The sequence below is a fragment of the Homo sapiens genome, chromosome 6, assembly GCF_000001405.40.
Source record: "Homo sapiens chromosome 6, GRCh38.p14 Primary Assembly".
Taxonomy (NCBI): Eukaryota; Metazoa; Chordata; class Mammalia; order Primates; family Hominidae; genus Homo; species Homo sapiens.
In genome coordinates this window covers 1,008,511-1,030,741 of record NC_000006.12, presented here as the reverse complement: position 1 = coordinate 1,030,741, position 22,231 = coordinate 1,008,511, and the positions used below count along the sequence as shown (strand labels likewise).

The window sequence follows — 22,231 nt, the reverse complement described above, 5'->3', positions numbered from 1 at the left end:
CTTTCTGTCTGGATGTCTACAGCATTTGTGCCTTATCCTTAAAGCTCAGAAACATTCCTCAGTGTTGATAATATTGTATCTTTTTTTCCTGGTACAAAATATTCCTTTTGTATCTTCAGGTTCAGATTTTCTTTTTATTTTTTATTTTTTATTTTTTTATTTTTATTTTTATTTTTTTTATTTTTATTTTTGAGACAGAGTCTCGCTCTGTCGCCCAGGCCGGACTGCGGACTGCAGTGGCGCAATCTCGGCTCACTGCAAGCTCCGCTTCCCGGGTTCACGCCATTCTCCTGCCTCAGCCTCCCGAGTAGCTGGGACTACAGGCGCCCGCCACCGCGCCCGGCTAATTTTTTGTATTTTTAGTAGAGACGGGGTTTCACCTTGTTAGCCAGGATGGTCTCGATCTCCTGACCTCATGATCCACCCGCCTCGGCCTCCCAAAGTGCTGGGATTACAGGCGTGAGCCACCGCGCCCGGCCTTTCTTTTTATTTTAAAAATGTTCTAACTCTTCTTGTCTCTGTATTATATTTGAGTACTTTTACTTTTCTGTTTATTCTCTTCACCTCTTCAAGAACACCAATTATACTCAATTTAGTTCTTTTCTATTCTACCTGAGATATTTCTCATTTTGCTTTTATTCACTATCTCTTCTTTCTTAGTTTATTCTTGGGTGATTTTATCAGATTACTGACTCTGTTCAGTGGCATATAATCTGATTTTTTTCCTTGTAACATTTATATTGTTATCTTCTATTGCTGTTCTGGGTTCTGTAATTTCATTTTATATCTCCTGTACAACTTTTTAAAGGTATTTTCCAACCATCCCCCCAAAATAGTCTTGTTTACTCTTCAATGTATTTGAGAGTACGGAGAAGTATTTGAGAGTACAGAGAAGTATTTGAGAGTACAGAGAAGTATTTGCCTAAAATTTTATTCTATTACCTGCGGCAATTCTTCTTAAGTGAAGTCTTCTTAGCTCTTTGCTTGTGATTTTCGTTGGCTGTGCATGTGGTACATCTTAGGTCCTTTCTGAATATTACTCATATTTTTATTGGAATGGGTATTATTAGCGCCAGCTAATTGCTCAAAAAACAGGGTGGGGAGTGCAGAGAATGTGTGTTAGTTCATTGTGCCTAATTTACAAAGAAAATAGGTTTATTTGGCTCTCTGTTCTGCAGACTGTACAAGAAGCATAGTGTCAGGAACTGCTTCTGGAGAGGCCTCAGGAAGCCTTTACTCATGGCAGAAGGCAAAGCCGGAGTGGATGTGTCACATGGCGAGAGAAGACGCAACAGATGGGAGAGGTTTCAGACTCTTTAATAAGCAGCTCTCCCGCAGCAGCAAGTCACGCATGAGGGAACTGCTCCATGACCCAGACACCTCCCACCAGTCCCTGCCTCCAACACTGGGGATCACATTTCAACAGGAGATGTGGAGGCCACAAACTAACTATCTCAGAGCATTGGCTGTTACAGTCAATAACTTTTAAACAGTTCTGCTGTCACCAAATACCTTTCCCCCCACAAAATCTCTGTCTTCTCTGAGGACACATCCCTTTCCTTAGATTTGGGGGCATCACCTGACTGGGGTAAAATGATGCCCCACACAGGAGCTGGCAGTGACTCTCAGATGCCTCTTAGCTCAATGGTTTGTGACTTACCATTGATTTTTCTCTATTCGTACATCTCGGGTTAGCATTTTCTTCTGTCTGGCTCTTTCTCCAGGTTACGAAGCCATGTCCATAGAAAATAGGCCAAGAATTCCAGAGGCAACCTCCCGCCCACACGCTGGGGTGGAGGCGGCCTGTTCCCTAGTGCTCCTGTCACTCATCTGTGCCGGCACCTTTGGTTTTCACCATAGGATCCTCGGATTCCTCAAGGCCCTTCACCTCCAGGAAAAGCTAAGACTCTCAAGAGGTGTGTGTCAACTTTGGGGCAGTTGCCATTCAGACCCCCTTGCAAGCTCTAGAAAACCCAACTGAAACAGCCCTAAATGTAAACACTCTATTTTCCCCCACAGAGCATCCCAGAGGCATGTCTGGCTTCAAGTGAGATTCATCCAGGCCTTAAACAACACAGCCATAAAACAGTTTCTATTTCTCAATTCCGCATCCTCAGAGTTGCCCCAATTCTCTAGCAACTCCTCCACTGTGGTCTCAAGAGCCTGGCTGAATCTCCTGCCCAACTCCATGTCTCATTTACTTCCAGTAGGAAAACACTGCCTTTCTAGAAGATCAACAAAAGGGTTGGAGCTAAGTCCTGCAGGTCCGCATGGACCTGACTCGGACTGTATGTCCGTTCTCGAACACATCACCCCAGCCCAAGGGTGGAGAACGTCAACCCCCTCCAGCTAATCAGGGCCGCCTACTGCTTGAGCAAGGGAAAGTTCAATCCCATTGAAAGTAACTCAGCAGGATGTCACAGCACAGTTAGGAAAGAGGAGTCGATGTGGTAGAGGCAGCCAGGAAGTATTCTCAGCAGGTCAAAGCGCCACTTGAACTGGTAGAAATTCTTTGTATTCTTGAGCTGAAAATGTTTCCTTTTCTTAATTTAAAATGGGGTCTTCTACTTTATTTTTATTTTTTGTCCATTTTTGTCATTTTTAGAGATAAGGACAGTATGATTGCTTGATTTCTTATCTTTAATTGGAAGTCCTAACTTAGCAATTTTATCAGCTTCATGATTTGGCTTTTTCTTTATTCATTAAGCCAACATATTTTGAACATGTGTCATGTGGTAGGCATTGCTCTAGGACTGGAGTTTTGACAATGATGGGGGCAGACGTTGCCCCTGCCCTTTTGGAACTTATAGTCTAGTGTGTGAGACACAACTGGGAGGAAATAAGCTCAACTTAAAAAATGTTTAAAACCATCAAGCTATTCTGGCTAATAGTCTTCCTTCTTTCCTTCCTTCCTCTCTCCCTCCCTCCCTCCCTTCCTTCCTCTCTCCCTTCCTTCCTCCGTCCCTCGCTTTCTCCCTCTCTCCCTCCCTCCCTGCCTACCTGCCTCCCTTCCTTCCTTCCTTCCTCCCTCCCTCCCTCTCTCCCTTCCTCCCTGCCTCCCTCCCTCCCTTCTTCTGTTTTTTTCCTTTCTATTTATTTAGGGGGAGGCACGTGAGGGATGACACAGGATTGAGTCATGGAAACTGCTCATGGTAATGAAGGGAGTCCTAGGCAAGAAGGACCTCTCCAGAAAGATGCTGCACATTTCTGCTTTTTCTTGGCTTTCAGTTCTTAAGGCTCCCAAAGAAAACTCCACTTGCACAATTTCTCCTTGTTCCTTCGGCCTTTCAGCAATTACCCAGCCCATTCCCAAAGCCTGGGACTCTGTGTCATCTTGAATGGTTCACGCCTCCTTGTTCCTGATCTTCTTTCCCCACCTCCTCCCATCCTTCCTGCCCCCAGTTCCCCAGATAGTAACGAAAGCAAGGTCCTTGGGTCCTGGGAGCACCCACATGTTCTTTTGGGAGGGCTGAGTGGCTACTGACAGCAAGAACAGAACCTAGGGCCAGTGTCGCAGAATTCCCAGAGCTGTGCCAGTTTAAGGGCTACCCACAGGCATCTCTATGCTTTGCCATTTGCCCCTGTAAGAAGTAAGGTCGGGAGTCCTGGAGAAGTCAAGCTCAAGTCGTCCTTTGTAACGACACTAAAGCTCACCTTGAGTTCACTTCACACGGGCCAGTCACAACCACTTAATTCTGTCCTCACAGCCCATCAGCAGGCACTGTGGTGTTTCTATCTTATGGAGGAGGACGCCAGGGCTTGCCCAACGCTATCACCTTGCCAGAGTCGTGCTGCTGAATGATGGCAGATCTAGGGTGCTGTCGTGGGTGTCTCTGTCTCCCTCCCACATCCCAGTCTCTACCCACCATACTCCCTGGAAGTGGAGAGCAATCACAGATCTGCTGGTTTCTTTCTCTGCACCTGGCAACCTCTGGAGGGCAAGGCCTGCACTTTTCCAGCTGTGACACCAGCCCATGTGTCTCATATCATTTCTCTCTCATGTAGCAAGAATTTCTCCCCAGAAAGGAGGTGGCAAAGATGGGCAGGGGGTGCAAAGGTGGGGGCTCTGACAGCCAGGTTCCAGGGTGCACTGCTGAGCCAGCCCACAACCATGGTGAGGCAGGGAGATTCCGCAGGACTCCGTATCCGTGCTTTGAAGATGGCTTTCGTGCTTTTAGTCTTTTCTTTGTTCATTTGTTGTTTGTTTTCTGATGATGTTTTAGTAAAAAGTTCTTTTGAAAATCCCAAGCTTTCTCAGCTGTGCAAAGGGGAACAAAGAACAGGGCTTTGGTGTTTTGTCCGGACTTGGACAGGTGTCCCGCTGAGGAAGTGGCCTGTCCCAGCCCCAGTCGGGTGGTGCTGGGAGGGTGGGGAGAGAGGCAACCAGGCTCAGCTTGGCCGGGGCTTCTGTGTGCCCTTCCGTCGGCTACCTTCCTCCTTTAGAGCTGTCTTTGTTGGATTTGCCCTTTTCCATAAGGAGCCATCGACCCCTTTATCATCCAACACAATGGAGGTTTATGAGAAACATATTCCAGGAAGGTTACCAATTTTTCCCTTAAATAGACCCAAGTCAAATTGCTGATCCTCCCAATCTCATCCTTGCCACTGTGACCAGCCCTCTAGGAGGGAAATCCAGTGAGGCCCAGTGGGTAGAGAACATTCCTGGCAGTTTGGCCCACCCTGGGGGGTGTCCCTGAATCCTATTGAGCATCAGCTTCCAAACCCAAAAAGGAAGAAACGCCACTGACTTCACAGGCCTTCTGTTATGATTGAAGGTGGAGCTGCCCAGTAACCATACCTCTGTGCCAGCACCACCACAAACCCTGGAGGACTCGGAGGGCAGAGCGCATTTGCACTTTGTGCTACTGAGGCCAGAGTTTTTGTTAGGCTAAAAGGGTAGAGAAGGTGGACCATGTGTACTCAATGGAACCAAGGAGGGCAGAAGGCGGGTTAGAAATTGGTTTGGTGGCTAAGTTGTTCTCGGCCATTCCAACTCCTGAGAACAAATTCTGCACACCTCTTCCCATCCCACATCCCAGGACATCACCCTGGAGCCTTGGGAAGAGCCATGGTGAGTGTGTTCACATCACAGAAATCAGGAAATGCTGCAGGATTTTTATGATCACTGTTGGCAGGTTATTAGAGAAAAGTTTCTAGAGTCTTAGTTATTATTTAAATAAGTAAAATCTGACAACGTAGAGGCAGTTTAATGATCCATATATTATGAGCACCTCAGTGTTAACTGAACGTTATCAATATAGGCTTAATGTTTGCAATGAATGACTGTCATACCACAAAGCATTCCATTATTATACATGGAAAATATGTAATTTTTTCTTAATCTAAGGTATGTTTTCCATTTAGCATGGTTGGTTTTGGAAAGATGCTATAAACTGACTACAAAAAATAAAATCCAGGGAGAAATGAAATCAGATTTTTAAAAATATCTAAAAATGGGACAGGCGAAATCAACGTCAGTAAAACACAACTGTAATGTCTTAAAGGATAATGGGATTAATTTCACAATTGAGTTCCAAAGCATCCTCACAATTATTATTTGTCAAGAAAGATCTACAATGTGCATTTGTGTTAAAGACAATGACTGTCACTTGGAGGAAGTTTTATTAAAAGGACAGTAAACCCGAGGTTGTTCTTGGGAGAATGCATTTTCAGATAGTCCCAAGTAGCTTAGTTTATTACATATTTATGTTCTTCAATGCAAGTCAGCAGGGGACCCACTCATTACATTTAGTATATTAAATACTTCATTTAGAACATCTTACAGTGGAAATTTCCTGTTTTTTTTTCATTGCTGTTTGTTACCCAAGAGCAAACCGCAGTGTCTCATAAAAGCATCAGCCTGTCTTTGGTCCTTGCAGAAAGCACATTGAATAAACATCTCTCCACAGCGGGGTTCCTGGCAGAGCACCGCCCCTGAGTTTAACTTTGCTAACTTGGCACTGTGATTTTTTCCTAGTTGTGTCATAATAAAGAATGCATGCTCCTTCAAGCTCTAAGAACCCCTGGTTGCCAGCTGTGCAGAGGCAGCATTCAGGAAGTTCCTTGCAGGCAGTGCGGTGACCCCGTGGGGAGGGATGTGACTGCCGCGTCCTAGTTTCTCCAGACCTCTTCGGCCATGACATCGGGCTTTGCCTTTTGGCCACTGAAAGAAAGTTCAACATCTTCTCTAAACAGAGCAGAAATTAATTCCTCATGTCCTTGTTCTCCTAGCGATTTTCTCATTACAGTTACAATAATGAAGTTGTCACGTGCAGTGGGCTCCAGGAGCCATGGAAAGACCTCGGGAAGGAAGAAGGGTGGCTTGTGCTCCCAACTCCACTGTGGTCCTGAAGCTACACCCACCCAGCTCCAGCCAAGGAGTGCAATTGGCCAGCGGCCTCCTGCCAGGCCTGCACACCTGCCCTTCACCTGGGTCAAAACCATGCTCCCCACAGCAGCCAGCCAACAAGGAGAGACGGGCTGCTGTGAGTGCTGGCTTTGGTGAGGACCCACAGCAGCCTATAGGGCCCTCCTTAGAGGGTACAGATCTGGGACTTTCCACCCAACCTTCAGTCTCGCTGACCTTATCTTGGGGCTCATACCTGCATGGTGGGGAGGCCTGCCTCTTAGCCCTCTCCACTTTCTCTCATGCAGGCCTTTCTCCCACTAGAATCTTTGCAGACTTCTGCTTCTCAGAAGACCCAGACTCACAGGAGTGGTACCAAGAGTGGTCAGAGAAAAAAGGTGACAAAATATGGGTTTCGGTCTAGATCGTGAATTAGCTAGCAGGTAGAAAGGTCTCCATGATGACTGGTGGAAGGGCAGAGACTCATGTCCTCCTTGATAAGGGATGGCAGCTCGATTGCTAAAGATTTCACTGAGGTGGGCCTTGAAACACCGCTCAGTGGAGGATAATGCAGAGACAGGTGCAATGATGGAAGCATTTGGAAAATATTGGGGGAACAATGTCTACAAGACAGCACAGTTGACTGGTTATTGCAAAGCTGAATTCATGTACTGCAGAAGGAAAAGGAGTCTGGGATGTATTAACTAGCAGTTAATGGTCAAGTGTGAGAGCCAGAGAGCTTCAAGGATAGCTTCTGAAGGGACCCTCATCACCTGGCATGGGTGGGCAGATGCAGTTGAGCAGCAGGTACTTGTGAAAGTGTCAGAGCTCTGGAGATGTGTGGGTGCTCAGTCCAGGCATTTCTGTGATCTGTGAGGCAGAACCTTGGTGGGGAAACCTCTGCATGGCGTTCCCTGTGGACGCTGACTCTACAGTCCCTGTGAGTCCTCTGAAATTGCAGAGGTGGCCCCGCCATATCCTAGTACAAGCGCAGAAGCTTCCCCAACAAGCAACAGGCATCCTCCCCTCTAGGAGGCCAGGGCACAGCTAGGCTTCAATCCCAACAGAACCCAGCTGAGAATATGCTGGGCTTGAGAGGGGAGGAAAAGACTTTTCATCCCAATAATGGAAAGGCCAGCTGGCATGTGTCCACATGGGAGCTAAGGGAGTATGCCTGGGATTGGATTTTGAGGGTGTTTGATCAGACTGTAAATCAGATAAGCAATAGTTAGAAGTAATTTTTTTCAGAATATAAGATTTAACATTGTAGACAGGATGTCAAGAAATGAAGCAAAGCTCCTGGGGTGGCTCTTGGAAGACTGGGTCTTTTTGGGGATGATGGGGCCCCAAAGTAATGGGGGCTAGAAACCAGAGGCCACAACAATGATGAATAGGAAGGTTGGAGGGGTGGCCAAGGGGGCCTGAGCTGCAGGGAGTTTGGGGATGGCTGATACAGCAGATTGTTCTTAGCCTCAGATAGGCCCACAAGGGTGCCACCCCATGCCTGTAATAGTAATGGTAAAGAAGGAAGAAGCGGCAGGCTGAGGACTGCCTCTCCGCAACCAAGACAAAGCCTCCTGCTCAGTCCCCAGGCATACCCAATTTCAGACTTGAAACCCATTGACTGAAGAGCTGGCTTGTCCTGCAAATACAGATTCCTGCAGCATGGTGGCCAGCATATGAGCATTCCCCCAGTCCTTCCTCAAGGGCACCTAAGGCCATTTACTCATGTGACTTTAATCTGGGTAGGGGGAATTACCTGACATTTCAAAGACTATTGGACACAAGGTCTGAATTTCCAGGGATACCTAGAGATTCCACAGAGTCATCTTGGCTTTCCCGGTAGAGTAGGGGACCTGGGGGCCAAGTCATTACTGGATCTGGCTGTTGTCCAGCTCGCAGTGGGCCTGCTGGGTCTGTGGCTTCAGCAGTGGTCTTTCCCAGTTCTTCAGTGGACTGTTAGACAAGAGCTACAGAGCAGGTGGAACTACGCCCACATTAGGGTTCTTGGTTTGTGGGATAAGAGCTATCATAGTGGGAAAGGCCAATTGGAAAAGGTGAAAACCCCCGAAGCTGCCCCCTCAACCTCGCTGAATCTTGGCAGGAGATGGGAAAGAAAGGCAGACTGAAGTCCACCATTAAGGACCTAAAGGGTGCACAGTGTTGGTACCGATCACTGCTCCATCGAATTGTCAGGCTGGCCCCTGCAGAAACTCTATGGATCCCAGAGAACGAATGTCGACTACCACTACTACCAGACTTAACCTAGCAGTAGCCCAGATCACACCATTAGAGCAGATTAGCAAAGCACCAAGAACGGGGCATGTGCCTCTTAGTTTGCCAGTGCATGCTCGACCATTCCATTTGGAAAAGAGGACCAGAAACAGCTCACATAGGACTGATGATATGCACTGCTAATTTAACCACAGTGCTGTATGAACTCTGTGCCTCTTGGCATTGAGACGTGAAGCCAGCTGGACTTCCTGGGTCCAGTGGGGACTTGGAGAACTTTTCTGTCTTACAAAGGGATTGTAAAATGCACCAATCAGCACTCTGTAAAAACGCACCAATCAGTGCTCTGTAGCTAGCAAGAGGTTTGTAAAATGCACCAATCAGTGCTCTGTAAAATGGACCAATCAGCAGGAGTCTAAAAGTAGCCAATCACAGGGAAGATTGAAAAAAGGGCACTCTGATAGGACAAAAACAGAAGATGGGCAGAGACAAATAAGGGAATAAAAGCTGGCCACCCCAGCCGCAGTGGCAACACTCAGGTTCCTTTCCACCTGTGGAAGCTTTGTTTTTTCACTCTTCACAATAAATCTTGCTACTGCTCTCTCTTTGGGTCCATGCCTTCTTTAAGAGCTGTAACACTCACCGTGAAGGTCTGCTGCTTCATTCTTGAAGTCAGCAAGATGAGACCACGAACCCACGAACCAACACTAGGCACAGCATGAGCAGTCCTGGACTGCTTGGCCTAACTGTAGAATACTGTAATGATCAATGACTTCATGCAGACTGAACGAAAGAAACAAGAGGGGGCTCATGCACTGAGAGAGTAAGGAAGACACATGTGATGCTGCAGGTAGGGGGTAAACCCTGCAAAGACTCGGGAGTTGACCACTCCAGTGAAGATTTTAGGGGCCAGAAATTAAGGAGTGCGAGGATTTTGCTCCACAGTGAAAGATAAGTCACTGCATTTTGCATTAACTACTACAAAGAAGTAAGCATGGTGCCTGGGTTCTGGTGGCAACTCATCCCATTCCTAGATTGTGTGTGACACAGAAGGCTTCCAGGTATACCGTGGTGGGCAGGAAAGGGCTGTGCTGTGGGTCCAAGCTGTGGTGCATTCATCCCTACTGCTGGGGCCACACAATCTTGCAGACCCTATGGTGCTGGAGGCATCAGTAGGGATCAGAGGCAGCTTGGAGCTTCCAGTAGTTCCACAGAAGAGCCACAACACAGGCTCCTGGGATGCGGGAGCAAGGCCTTGCCATCTGCAACAGAGGATTAGGCAGCCTTGAGAAATGTTTCTTGGGTGCTGCTGGCCTTGGTGAAGGCAGGCTACTTGACTGTGAGACACCAAGTAACCCTGCTTCCGGAGCTGTCCTCAGGAGGTGGCTGAGGAAATGGACCCTGGTCATTGAGAGGAGCTGTGGCTGCTTGTACACAGTGGGGCAGGGAGGAACATGCCTAGGGCTCCACTCGGGTGCCTCCTGGTATACCCGGGTTCCACCGTAGAGGTAAATGGGTGCTCTCAGCAAGCTTGGATGAGAAGAACACGATGACCAAGGGTGTGATCCTTCGGGTCATGCCATCAGACAAGCCACTGAGCCCTGCCAAAGTGCTGAGGGTGAGGGACATTTAGAATGAGTAGCAGGGTTAGGGGATGATTAGTACCAGCTGGGGCCCCAAGTGAATGACAGCAATGTGGCCTACAGCCCATCCCACCTGCCTCCCTCAGCTGTGTCTCCCTCTGCAGAAAGCCCCATAGGGGCCCTGGAGGAGCTGCTCCTGCAGTGTGTGGTCAGTGAGAACCCCTACCCATGGTGGACCCTGGTAGCCATGAGTAGCACAGACCCCCAATTATGGAAGCACACGTGAACAAAAACCCCGGCGTCTGCCTCTGAAATCTTTCTCGACATTTGCTTTTCCCTGGTTCTCCCAGCCAATGACTGAGGACAGCAGGGGCCCTAAGGCCAGCCCGGTGCTGGAAGACCAGGGCTTCTCTGACGTTTGCTTCACAGCTCTCCTAAACCTTCCTCTGGGTGCATGGCCCTCTGGGACGCCGCCATCCAACCTTACCTCCCTCCCTCTTTCACTGGTCAGACTTGCTGCAAGGTCTTACCCTGGCCCCTCACCCATTCTCTTTCACACATGGATTTATGAAGTCCTCACACATCTAAGCCCATCTCATTGTCTTCTAAATGACTATAATCATGTCACTTCACCTCTATGGACTTTGGTTTCTCATCTGCAAATTTACAGAGTTAGAATTTAAGAAGTCAAGGTGTTGTTGGACTTATTCACCTCTCAGAATCTGAATTCATGCCCCACCAAATACCTAGTGCAATGGGGAACTAGTGCATATTCATGAATTTTGTAGGTTACAGTAATTTGAGTGATGGGATGTAAAAATCAGAAAGAAAGCTTTTCTTTGTGGTAACTCCTCTGAGAGCGATTTTCTAACATGTCCCCACACTCCCATTCAGCCCCACACCTCTTCTAACACTGCAGTCACTCGTGAACTCAGTATCTCTGCGTTTTTGTTTCCTGTTCTCCCCAGGCTTCTGCTTCCGTGGCAGCTTGATTCCATGTGTTTGGGTGGAAAGAGCACAGAATAGGTGGGGGCTAAGCCTTGTGTTTGAGCCCCTCTGCCATTTTCTCCCCCATCCTGAAAGACACGGGTGTAGAAGAAGCCTGAGTTTTACCATATGCTTTTCCCAAGAGGCTAAGTTTTAAATAAGTGTATGGAATAGCAACAATTACTTATTCAGTACTTAGAATTCTGTATTTACTATATAATTTTGTCAAATATCCTGGGGTTCATATTATTATCCCCATTTAAAGATAAGGAAACTCCGAAAGGCTAAGTCATTTGTTTAAGGTCATAGAGCAAGCATGTAGCAGAATTTGAAATCAAATGTAGGTTTTTTGGATCTCCCTAAGTCAAAGCATGTTTCTGTTGCTTAACATTTTAATAATGAAGTATTAAAAATCAGATGAGTCCTTCCCAGAACGCTCAATGCCTGAATCATTTCCTCTTTCTGAGGCGTCTAGAGAACAGCCAGGTGTAGCCATGTGACTTTATCTCAAGACTCTGTCATTGCCTGCCATCTTGCCTGTCTTATCCATAAACGCACAGGGCTCTCCGTGGGCAGGGGACTGGGTCTTAATCGTTGTATTCCCACGGTAGAGCGTGATGCTTAGCACACAGGAGATGCACAACAAATACTTACCTAGTAAATGAATGGATGGGTAAAAGAAATGATGGGTTTTAAAGATTGGATTAATTTATGACATGAGATACAATGCAATCTTGGGTAAACCATTGAAGATGTTTTCATCTTGATTCCATTTCTTCATATGTAAAGTTAATACAATTAGGTCTCACTAAGTAACCTCTGAGTTGCTTTTCAGCTGTGAATGTCTGTAATACTAAACAATACACGCATATTATGAAAGCTTAAAATCACATGCTCATGTGCACAGTAAAAGAAGAATAATGAGAAATTAATGAAACTTTTCTCAATTCAGTTGTTTAAGGCAATGGTTAATGGTGATTTACTTAACACTTTTATTATAAGCGTCAGTATTGGAACAACACTAGCTATGAATTGGAAAATGAACTAGTTTCGTGGAGACTCACATGTGCCATTTGTACACTGGCACAAAAACTTAATAAAGCTCAAGAAGCAACACTCACACAAAGAAGCTGCAGTTGGCTGTAAGAAGCCAGTGTAGTCCTTCCTAACGAACATTCCGACTGTTCTTGTAAATGTGGATGGCAGAGTGATATACACACAAACGTGAATCACTAGTTTTAGAAAACACAAATTTCTTAAATCAATAGCATACTTTTTATGGTGACTGTAAGAACAGATTTTTTTTCTTCCCATTCTCAATGTGTTTGGAGTGGAATTTCTTGGGGAAAGCCAGGAAAACAGACCCCATAAATTAGCCTGATGTAGAAAGTGTTTATGTTTATTGTTTGAGCCTGTAACTGAAACAGGATGGGGTTTAGCTCTGGGATGTACAGGTGGAAACACTTAGTGGGAACAGTATCCTCTGCCACACACAAGTATCCTGAGGGAGAAAGACTAGAACATTCCCCAGAGGATAAAGAGCTCTCTGGATTTTTACCTACAAAGTAAAGGCAGACAATCTTTTACCTGGCAGGGTTATTTCCTTGGGTCCCGCTTGTTATTAAGGAGTGACCCCACCGGAATTGTGGTGAGTAGCATCCCAGGTCCACCTAAAAGCAGTTTCATGACCTTCCAGCCCAGCAGCTCCCCTGTGTCTGCCAGTAAGGACTGCACATCCACATGTGGCTGTTTTGCCCACTGGACCTAAAAGCAGTGGGTTTTAAACTCCGATTTCAACAAGGCTATTACAACAAAGCTGTCTTTGACTAAGAATCTCAGAAGCTATTTTTGTGTTCAATGTTTAGTCTAAACCTTGCAAAGTTACCAAGTATTAAATTAACATATATTTTCTTTTAAATCAAATAGAAGTGCACCCTTAACTGCAGTTTTAATTTTTCCGAGAACATGCTGGGATATTTGCTTGATTCTGAGATGTCTTTACTTATTCTTGTCTGCTCAATAAATTATTTTTTTTAAGTGGAGGGAAAAAATTATAAATTAGGACTCCATTCTTCCCACAACACAATGACTTTCAAGTTAATAACAAAAATGTATTATTAATCATAGTATTTAGCATTTATTGAGCACTAATAATGCACGAAGAGTTTGCTAAGAACTTTCCTTTATTATTTCATTTGTCTCACAATTACCTGTAGGTAAATATATCTTATATATCCTGTATTTCTCTCTTTTTCAAATGAGAAATTAAGTCTCAAAGAGGCTAAGTGGACTGCCCTAGGTTACACAGTTAGTGATTAGTACTCCTGGGATTCAGGATCACAAAAGTCCATGTTCTTTCTCCGGCACCTCTGATGTTCATCCCTGGATGTGCAGAATCACTCTGGGAACCTTAGAGCTGATCACCCAGCCCTGGGCCACCTCACATCGGCTGAATCATATCTCCGGGTGACGTGGGAAGCATCCTGCTCGTTCATTTAACTCTCCAGGTGACCCTAACGTGCAGCCACTGCTGCAATCCACCCCCAATCAAGCCAGTCCCCAGTGAACTGTGGGCATTCACTCATAACTGGCACAGCCATCCCCTGAAATCTGTTGCGAGGAACAATACTCAAAGGCTAACTACCAAGTTAATCTGTTTCTCAGGTATCTCAAACCCAAATCAGTTCCCCTTTTCCAAATCTAAACCAACATTTTCACTGCTGCCTTGCCGGTGTTTACTGAGTGCCCATAACATGCGCAGACAGACCTGACATCTGTGTTCCCTGCAGCACGAGCCCTGGGCCTGGCACAGGTACATTTTTATTGAATAAATCAATGAGTGAACGAATGCAAGGTTGAATAAACATACAATGCTTGATGATGTCATAAATCCCCAAATAATCACTTTTTTCCGTAAATAATTTTGTACAGGAGGAAACGGAAGGTTTATACTAAACATGGGGTTCATCTAGGACCTTTATTCAAAGGAAACTTGAAAACTTGGTTGCTGTAATGCTGGTTTGTCATGATAGCCCTTTGATAGGAGGAGTTATTATGACAGGATTTTATGGGGCTGCCATAAATAGTGAGTAAACAGGAACGAGGAAAACAAATGTGACAACCAGGGGTTTGTTTATTTTCCTTATTTATGCTCTGTCTTCCGTCTCTAGATTAATTTCTATGTCAAAGCGTTAGAGGCAGTTGGTGTGCCGGGCTGTAATTAAGTGTGTGAGTGTGTGTCTGTGCATCCGCACTACATGATGTTTAAATGAAGACTAAAAAATTTAATTAAATAAACAATTAACAAGTTTCCCTATGGCTCCAAATGCACTAATAGTTGCTGACATCCCATATTTCAATGTGTCCCCTGGACTTGGGATGTCACAGTTATAGATCTTCAGGTGGGAGGGCCCAGCTTGCTGAGACTGGACTGATTTATTCACCCTCAGTGCTCCCTTGGGTGTTCATGAAGGAGCTCAGATGAACATGGCCACAGCAGTGCCACATTCCTCACTGAGGGCAGCAGTACCAGGATCTATTCCAAATGCATAAAGCTAGTGCTGTGCAGTCAGGCCTCTCATGCTGTGAAGTCATGTTTCCACTGGAGGTGCTGTGTGGTGGGGTTTGAGGAAGGCTGACTGGGCTTAGTTTTTCTGTGTCTTCAGAGCAGCAAATCCCATGACCTGGAGGGCCCTGCAGCCACCCCTTATACAGGAAAGGGCACTCTCTTAGTTCACTCAGGCTGCTGTAACAAAACACCTGACACTGGGTAGTTGTTTTTATGTTACTTTGGCATAAAAATTATCTTCTTTTTCTTTTTTTAATTTTACTTTCAGTTCTGGGATACGTATGCAGAACATGCAGGTTCGTTCCATAGATATACATGTGCCATGGTGGCTTGCTGCACCTATCAACCCGTCGTCTAGGTTTTAAGCCCCACATGCATTAGACCTTTGTCCTAATGCTCTCCCTCCCCTCACCCCTCACCCCCCACTCCCAAATAGGCCCAGGTGTGTGATGGTCCCCTCCCTGTGTCCATGTGTTCTCATTGTTCAACTCCCACTTATGAGTGTGAACACGCAGTATTTGGTTTTCTGTTCCTGTGTTAGTTTGCTGAGAATGATGGTTTCCAGCTTCATCCATGTCCCTGCAAAGGACATGAACTCTTCCTTTTATGGCTGCATAGTATTCCATGGTGTATATGTGACACATTTTCATTATCCAGTCTATCATTGATGGGCATTTGGGTTGGTTCCAAGTCTTTGCGACTGTAAATAGTGCTGTAATAAACATACATGTGCATGTGTCTTTATAGTAGAATGATTTATATTCCTTTGGGTGTATACCCAGTAATGAGATTGCTGGGTCAAATTGTATTTCTGGTTCTAGATCCTTGAGGAGTTGCCACACTGTCTTCACCAATGGTTGAACTAATTTACACTCCCACCAGCAGTGTAAAAGCATTTGTATTTCTCCACAGCTTCGCCAGCATCTATTCTTTCCTGAGTTTTTAATAATTGCCATTTTGACTGGCATGAGATGGTATGTCATTGTGGTTTTGATTTGCATTTCTCTAATGACCAGTGATGATGAGCTTTTTTTTCATATGTTTGTTGGCTGCATAAATATTTTCATTTGAGAAGTGTCTGTTCATATCCTTCACCTACTTTTTGATGAGGTTGTTTTTTTCTTATAAATTTGTTTGAGTTAAGACTTCATGACTAAAACATCAAAAGCAATTGCAACAAAAGCTAAAATTGACAAATGGGATCTAGTTAAACTAAAGAACTTCTGCACATCAAAAGAAACTATCATCAGAATGAATGGGCAGCCTACAGAATGGGAGAAAATTTTTGCAATCTACCCATCCAACAAAGGTCTAATATCCAGAATCTACAAGGAACTTAAAAAAATTTACAAGATACTCAGTAATTTATAAGCAGCAGACATTTATGTCTCACAGTTCTGGAGGCTGGGAAGTCCAAGAGCAAGGCGCTGGCTGATTTGGCATCTAGGGAGGGTGTGTTCTCTGCCTCATGGGCAGCACCTTCTCTCTGTGTCCTCACATGTTCGAAGAGGCTAGCCAGCAACCCAGGATCTCCTTTATGAAGGCACAAATCCCATTCATGACCCAATCTCCTCCCAAAGGACCCTTGTCCCAAAAGGCCCACTGAACTCCCAGTGAGTTCAGAAATGAACTCATTTCTGAAGACATATCTTGCCCCGACTTGGGTTGATTTGCTGTGTTCCCAGGCAACTCATTTAGCCTTGTTGGATCTTAGTTTTATACTTACTTACCTCTCACAATTGTTTTAGGAACTGAAAGTTTCGGGCAGACCCCCAAAACTGGGCCTGGCTTCTTGTGAAATGTTTCTATGAGTGCAAACCTCCCGAATGGCCTTCAGGTGACATTTCATTGCCGTGCCTCTGCTGAGGATTTACACCTGAGTGAAAAGTACCATCATCCCCTGCAAGCATGTGCAAAAACATCTGAAATGAGTATAAAGTACAAGCAGGAAGATGAATAGATCCCTGGGGAGATTTTACTTCACTGATAGGCTTCTACCAGTACTACATTTGTTAAAAAAAATATGCAAGTTGGAACGCTAAGAGGAAACACCCCAAGTCTAAGGAGAAACATCGTTAAGAATAAAGTCTTAGAAAAGCATTTCAATTGGAAAGCCCCATCCCTTGAGTCAGTCCTAAAAGTGGAAAGCGAAAGCACTGAGTGGAGAATATTTGTTACAAAATGCTGAGACTCATGAAAAATCTGTCCTGTAGAGGCAGGACAATAATCCCAAGCAAACATAAGCTTTCAAGTGAAATATGTTTATAAGATGAGTTGTAAGTTTGTCATAGCTTTACTTGGCCTAATGGTTAACTACATCAAAAGAAAAAAAAATCATAAATATAACATGATTTATTAAGCTTTAACTAAAGTACACTTCTCATGTAAGCCCACAGTGGGTTCTCAGAAGAGAATGAGTAGAGCTGAAGTTTCAAGAGAAACACAACAACAAAAAGGCAAAATTGACCAAGACAGAAGAGTGGAGGAAAGTTACAATTCTTGCAGGTTTTTTGAAAATATCAGTTAACAGAAAGTGACTTGAGCTGACAAGTCTACAAATAAGGAGGAGAAATTCGGGGATAGATAAGATGAGTGGGGCTTAGAAAGTGAGAGCAGAGGTCACTGTGGGGTTGGGTGGGGTTCACCACCACAAAAAGCCATTTGGATGTGGGTGTCAACTGTCTGAGGGGGTGTGGGCTCTTCATGAAAGGCCAGAAGACATGGCCTCCTCGTGGGGGATGCTCAATATTCTGGGGATGTACATGGATTCCTTTCCTCCAGGAGAAGCACTAAGGGAGAGGCCACATGTACAGCCACTAATATGCAGCCACTCTGTCTCAAATTGTTCCTACAGAGACCACTCGCTGGCTTTTCCTTGGAGAGGGTCTGGGAAAGCCTGCAATATCAGAGTCACTTCATGAGGAGCCCAGGAGAATAAATAAGACCAAGACTTGTCGGCCACCATCAGATGAAATCTTGCCCATAAGGCCATGGAGTCATATTTGGTGTCTGAAAATCCATACGCACAGCATGCATGGTCTATAAATCCCCCAAATAACGTCATTTACCCATACCTGTATTGTCTTTTGAATTATGTGGATACCATTGTTATTAATGAAATACAAATTTTTAAATATTTGTTACTGAAATCACAGTAGCTTGCAGTCAACACACTTTGAACGTTACGGATAATCATATAGGGAGATGGCCTTGCAAATTTTTGATTTCAAAGCAAATCTATTAAACTCATAACAGTTAGAAATAAGTGCTCCCAAGCTTAAAACTACAGAGGTGAATTCTCTCCTCTCTCTGTAACCAGACCAAGGGCTTGGAGAACCCTGGTTGAGCTCTGTCTTGTTGGGGGGCTGGGGACAACAACTCACAGCTAACCTACCCCAGGATGGCTAAGGTTTCTTCTTTGGGGACTGCAGATTTGGTCAGATTGGTTCTGCGGCATCTAGTGGAGAGAAAAGTCACACCCAGAAGTCAGGAGGACAATTTAGATGAAAAGTATAGACAGCAATAGGAAGCTTTGGGATGGAAGACAAGCAGGGACCAGCTCTGAGGAACAGCAGAGCATATGGGCACTGTGGTAGTAAAGGAAGCCCCTTGCCCTCCAGCACTGTGCCAGGCAGAATAACACCTACGCGCGCGCACACACACACACACACACACACACACACATCCTACCTGTGTGTAGGAACCTGTGACTGTCGCCTTAGAAGGCTGGAGTCGCTTCGCTGATGCAATGAAAGATCTTGAGATGGGGAAGTTATTCTGGATTATCCGGGTGACCTAATGTGATCCCAGGGATCCTCACAAGCAGAGATCTCATCTTTGCTGTAGTCAAAGGGAGAAGCATGTGACCACAAAAGAAGGCTCAGAAAAATGCCATATTGCCGACTTTGAAGGAAGGGACCATGAGCCAAGGCATGCAGGCAGCCTCTAGGAGCTGGAAAAGGCAAGGAGACAGGTCCTCCCTGAGATCCTCCAGGGGGGTCAGCCCTGCCGACACCTTGCTTTATCCTGGTGAGACCGATGTTGGGCTTCTGGCCGACAGAATCACAGGGTAATAAGTGTGCATTGTTTTGAGCCAATAAGTTGGTGGAAATTTGTTACACAGCAATAGAAAACTAATAAAATGCCCAACTACATCCTCGTCACCAGATTGAGAGTTTGGGGAAACAGGCTCCTGAGGTCAGTGTTTGGCCTGGTCCTTGGAGCCCAGGACTCCTGGAAATTTCCTTGCCTTCTGTGGATCACACAAGCAGTCAATCTCCACAGATGCCTGAGTGAAGGCACCCAGGGGACCCACAGGATTGGACTCTGCAGAGTGCCTTCAGAGGACTTGGGTGCGGGTCTCCAGAATCCTGGACTCCGGCAGAAACCTTAAAGCTGCTCAGTCAGTGGCCCTGATAAGCCTCTGAAGGAGGCTGCCCAAGGGAGGAAACTCCAAAATAGGCAACTCCATTATTTCTTCAGGAATTGAGCAAATTACTGAGGGAAAAGACTTTGAGAGAAAAACTTATTATTTGCAAGAAAAGAAATTACCCTAGAGTAAACCTGGAAAATAGGGTTTAACTGTATTATTTTTAGGTCACTAAAATTGATTGCCTGGGTTTTTAAAAAATGCTGCCCAATTCAAACCATTTACGGGGGGAGCCCTTTGCAGTACCTGCACATACGTTTAATGATGGAATAAAATGTCCTTGGTTTTTCCTGGGAAGCACATGTTCTTTTGGTCTGCATGTTTACTGCATACTAAAGACGATTGTAGCTCATTTGCCCTAAGCACCAGAAACTGGGGTTATGTACAGGGCAGAGACACTCATAAAATGTGCACTGGGACGTTGGACGTAAGCTTTGCAGTGACAGCTTTCAGAGTTGACATTATCGTGTGTGTGCCTTGTAGCTAGCAGACCAGGAATGCAGAAGCCCAGAACCTCATCAGGCAATATGGGCTTATGAAGCTGATGTCACAATGTGTACAGTAAAAGGATCAGAGCACAGTCATGATCACTATGTAGCGTGTCCTTGTACACTGAGGAGAAAAGCGACCCTAAACTACACAACGAGGCTGCAAGTAGATGTCACATGTGTCCCTGACACTAGGGCCCTTTTGGCTTCCCTGTCTCTTGATGAGTGACACCTTGTCAGTACCTCAAGAGTGTAAAGCAAATTGCAAGAAAAGTAGAAGAGAGATCTACTTCTGCGTGTCCTAGGAGCCAAGAGCAATCATTCTAAGGAGTCTGGGGAAGCCGCTGTGAGGGTTTCAATGACCTGGGCAGTAGCAGAGGAGGGAGGACCCTAGTGTGTGTAAGATGGTTAGGACTGGGCAACCAGAGAAGGTGGAAGGAGGTTCAGTACTGGGTGATGGGGCTCGAGAGGCCAGAGGTAGGAAAAGGAGTGGCTTGTTTAGTGGACAGTAGGCAACTGACAGGAAGGAAGGGAGGGAGGAAATGAGGGAAGAAGGGAGAGGGGAAATGAGGGAAGAAGGGAGAGGGGAGGGAGGGAGGGAGCATAGGTTAATGGTTGTGAGACAGACATGAGTGAAAATAGGAAGAGGGATTAGAGCCAAACAGCAGTGGGTCCTGACTCCCAGGAAGAGGCGCTTAACCTCAGCCTGTTGTCTTTGGGAGTGATTTTGTCACCTGTGACACATGCGTGAGTGACACAAGGGTGCTGGAGGGAGCGTAAGGCTAATGTGTGCCTTCTGTTTAAAAACTCCTTGTGTCTGCGCCATACTTTCATAGAGCTCATAATTTGATGTGTTTGGGAGGATTCGCTGGTCTCTCCAGCCTGGCTATTAGAGAAGCCATCAGTTCCCAGTGACTCAGTGAGCGTGAGGACCTGCCCTGGCTGGGTGTCAGACCTGAGGGAGCGAGAGCAACCATAATTCAGCAGTTAACCCATGCTCATCAAACCCAGCCTCCCTGGCTTTAAACACCTCCTCACCACACCTCTCGCCTCTCTTCCATAGGGGACTGATTTCAACTTTGGGTTTTCAACTTCAAACTCCCTGTCTGAATGTTCCCAGGCAGATGGATGCCCCAAAGCCACGGATTTCATGGAGCTCTGCTGCAAACACGTAGCTGCCTGTGCAGACAGAGAACAGGTGGCCACAGGAAGAATGGATTACAAACAGGGAGAAGCCCATGAACAGGCGCTCCCCATCACTAATCATTAGGGAAATGCAAATCAGTACCACAATGAGACACACAGCCATGAGGATGGCAACTATCACAAAACAAACACAGAAAACAGAAAGTAACAAATGCTGGTGAGGATGTGGAGAAATAGGAACCCTTGTACAGTGTTAGTAGGAATGTAAAATGGTGCAGGTGCTGTGCCTCTTCCTCAAAAAATTAAAAATAGAATTGCCATATGATCGCGCTATATCATTTCAGGGTGTACGCTGAAAATAAAGCAGGGAATCTTAACAGGTGTTCGTACACCCGTGTTCATAGCAGCGTTATTCACAATAGCCAAAGGTGGAAACAGCCCAAATGCATACAGACAGATCAATAGATAACAAAATGTGTGTGTTCCCACAATGGAATGTGATTTGGCTTTAAAAAGAAAGGAAATTCTGACACATGCTACAATGTGGATGAACATTTAGGACATTATGCTGAGTGAAATAGGCCAGTCACAAAAGGACAAATACTGTGTGATTCTACTTGTCTGAGGTTCCTAGAGCAATTGAACTCATAGAGACAGAAAGTCAAACAGGGGTTGCCAGGAGCTGGGGCAGAGGAAAGGGGAGTGAGTGTTTGATGGGGAGGGAGTTTCAGTTTTGAAAGATGAAGAGAAGTCTGGAGTTGGATGGTGGTGATGGCTGTACCACATGCAAATGTACTTAAAGCCGCTGAACTGTGCACTTAAAATTGTTAAACTGGTAAATTTTATAGTGTGTGTGTGTGTGTGTGTGTATATATATATACACATATACTACATATATATATGTAGTATATGTATACCACAATAATTATAAAGAGGCTAAAATGCATGAATATCACACATACACTCACTTATTGAGAGACAATTATTTAGCAGTAAATAGGGAGGTAACCACATGATGCTGATAGATAATTCACCTGCAAATCAGAAGACCTGGAATCTAGCTTTGGTTTCAGCTTTTCAATCCATAGAATCACTTGGGAATGACACTCCTGTGCTTCTCTTGGCCTCAGCCACCTTATCTGTAGAACATGCACTTGGATTAAATAATCCTTAGGATCCTTTCCAATTCTAAAGTTTTGTGTTTCTGAGATGGTTTGTGGCCAGGCTGACAAATCTAGCATATTTGTAACTCAGACTGATGTGGCTACAGTATGAGCATATTTCCTTGTCCAAAAGTAGCAGGATTTGCTTAATATGGTGTAATCTAATAGTCCACAATCCTTAAGTGAGAAAAATGCCTTCTAGAATAATCTCAGGTCAAATAAGCCATTATCTCAGGTCAAATCAGCTAACAACCCTGACTCCAGAAGGCTCTTCTGGACCTGAAGGCTA

At 45.3% G+C, this 22,231-nt stretch overlaps 1 long non-coding RNA gene across 2 annotated transcripts in view, besides 3 other annotated features; it reads left to right on the top strand.

Annotated features, from left to right (window-relative positions):
- Window positions 1–22,231, top strand: part of LINC01622 (long intergenic non-protein coding RNA 1622) — a 140,330-nt gene that overhangs the window by 70,591 nt on the left and 47,508 nt on the right. The gene's annotated exons all lie outside the window — the stretch shown is intronic.
- Window positions 2,138–2,651: an enhancer, noted in NCBI's record as "NANOG hESC enhancer chr6:1028326-1028839 (GRCh37/hg19 assembly coordinates)". NCBI's record gives its function as "activates a minimal SCP1, AML or CMV promoter by ChIP-STARR-seq in naive H9 embryonic stem cells {active_cell/tissue: H9 hESC(naive)}" and the evidence as "EXISTENCE:reporter gene assay evidence [ECO:0000049][PMID:30033119]".
- Window positions 16,490–16,629: an enhancer, noted in NCBI's record as "active region_23862". NCBI's record gives its function as "activates an Ori minimal core promoter by ATAC-STARR-seq in GM12878 lymphoblastoid cells {active_cell/tissue: GM12878}" and the evidence as "EXISTENCE:reporter gene assay evidence [ECO:0000049][PMID:35858748]".
- Window positions 16,770–16,829: an enhancer, noted in NCBI's record as "active region_23861". NCBI's record gives its function as "activates an Ori minimal core promoter by ATAC-STARR-seq in GM12878 lymphoblastoid cells {active_cell/tissue: GM12878}" and the evidence as "EXISTENCE:reporter gene assay evidence [ECO:0000049][PMID:35858748]".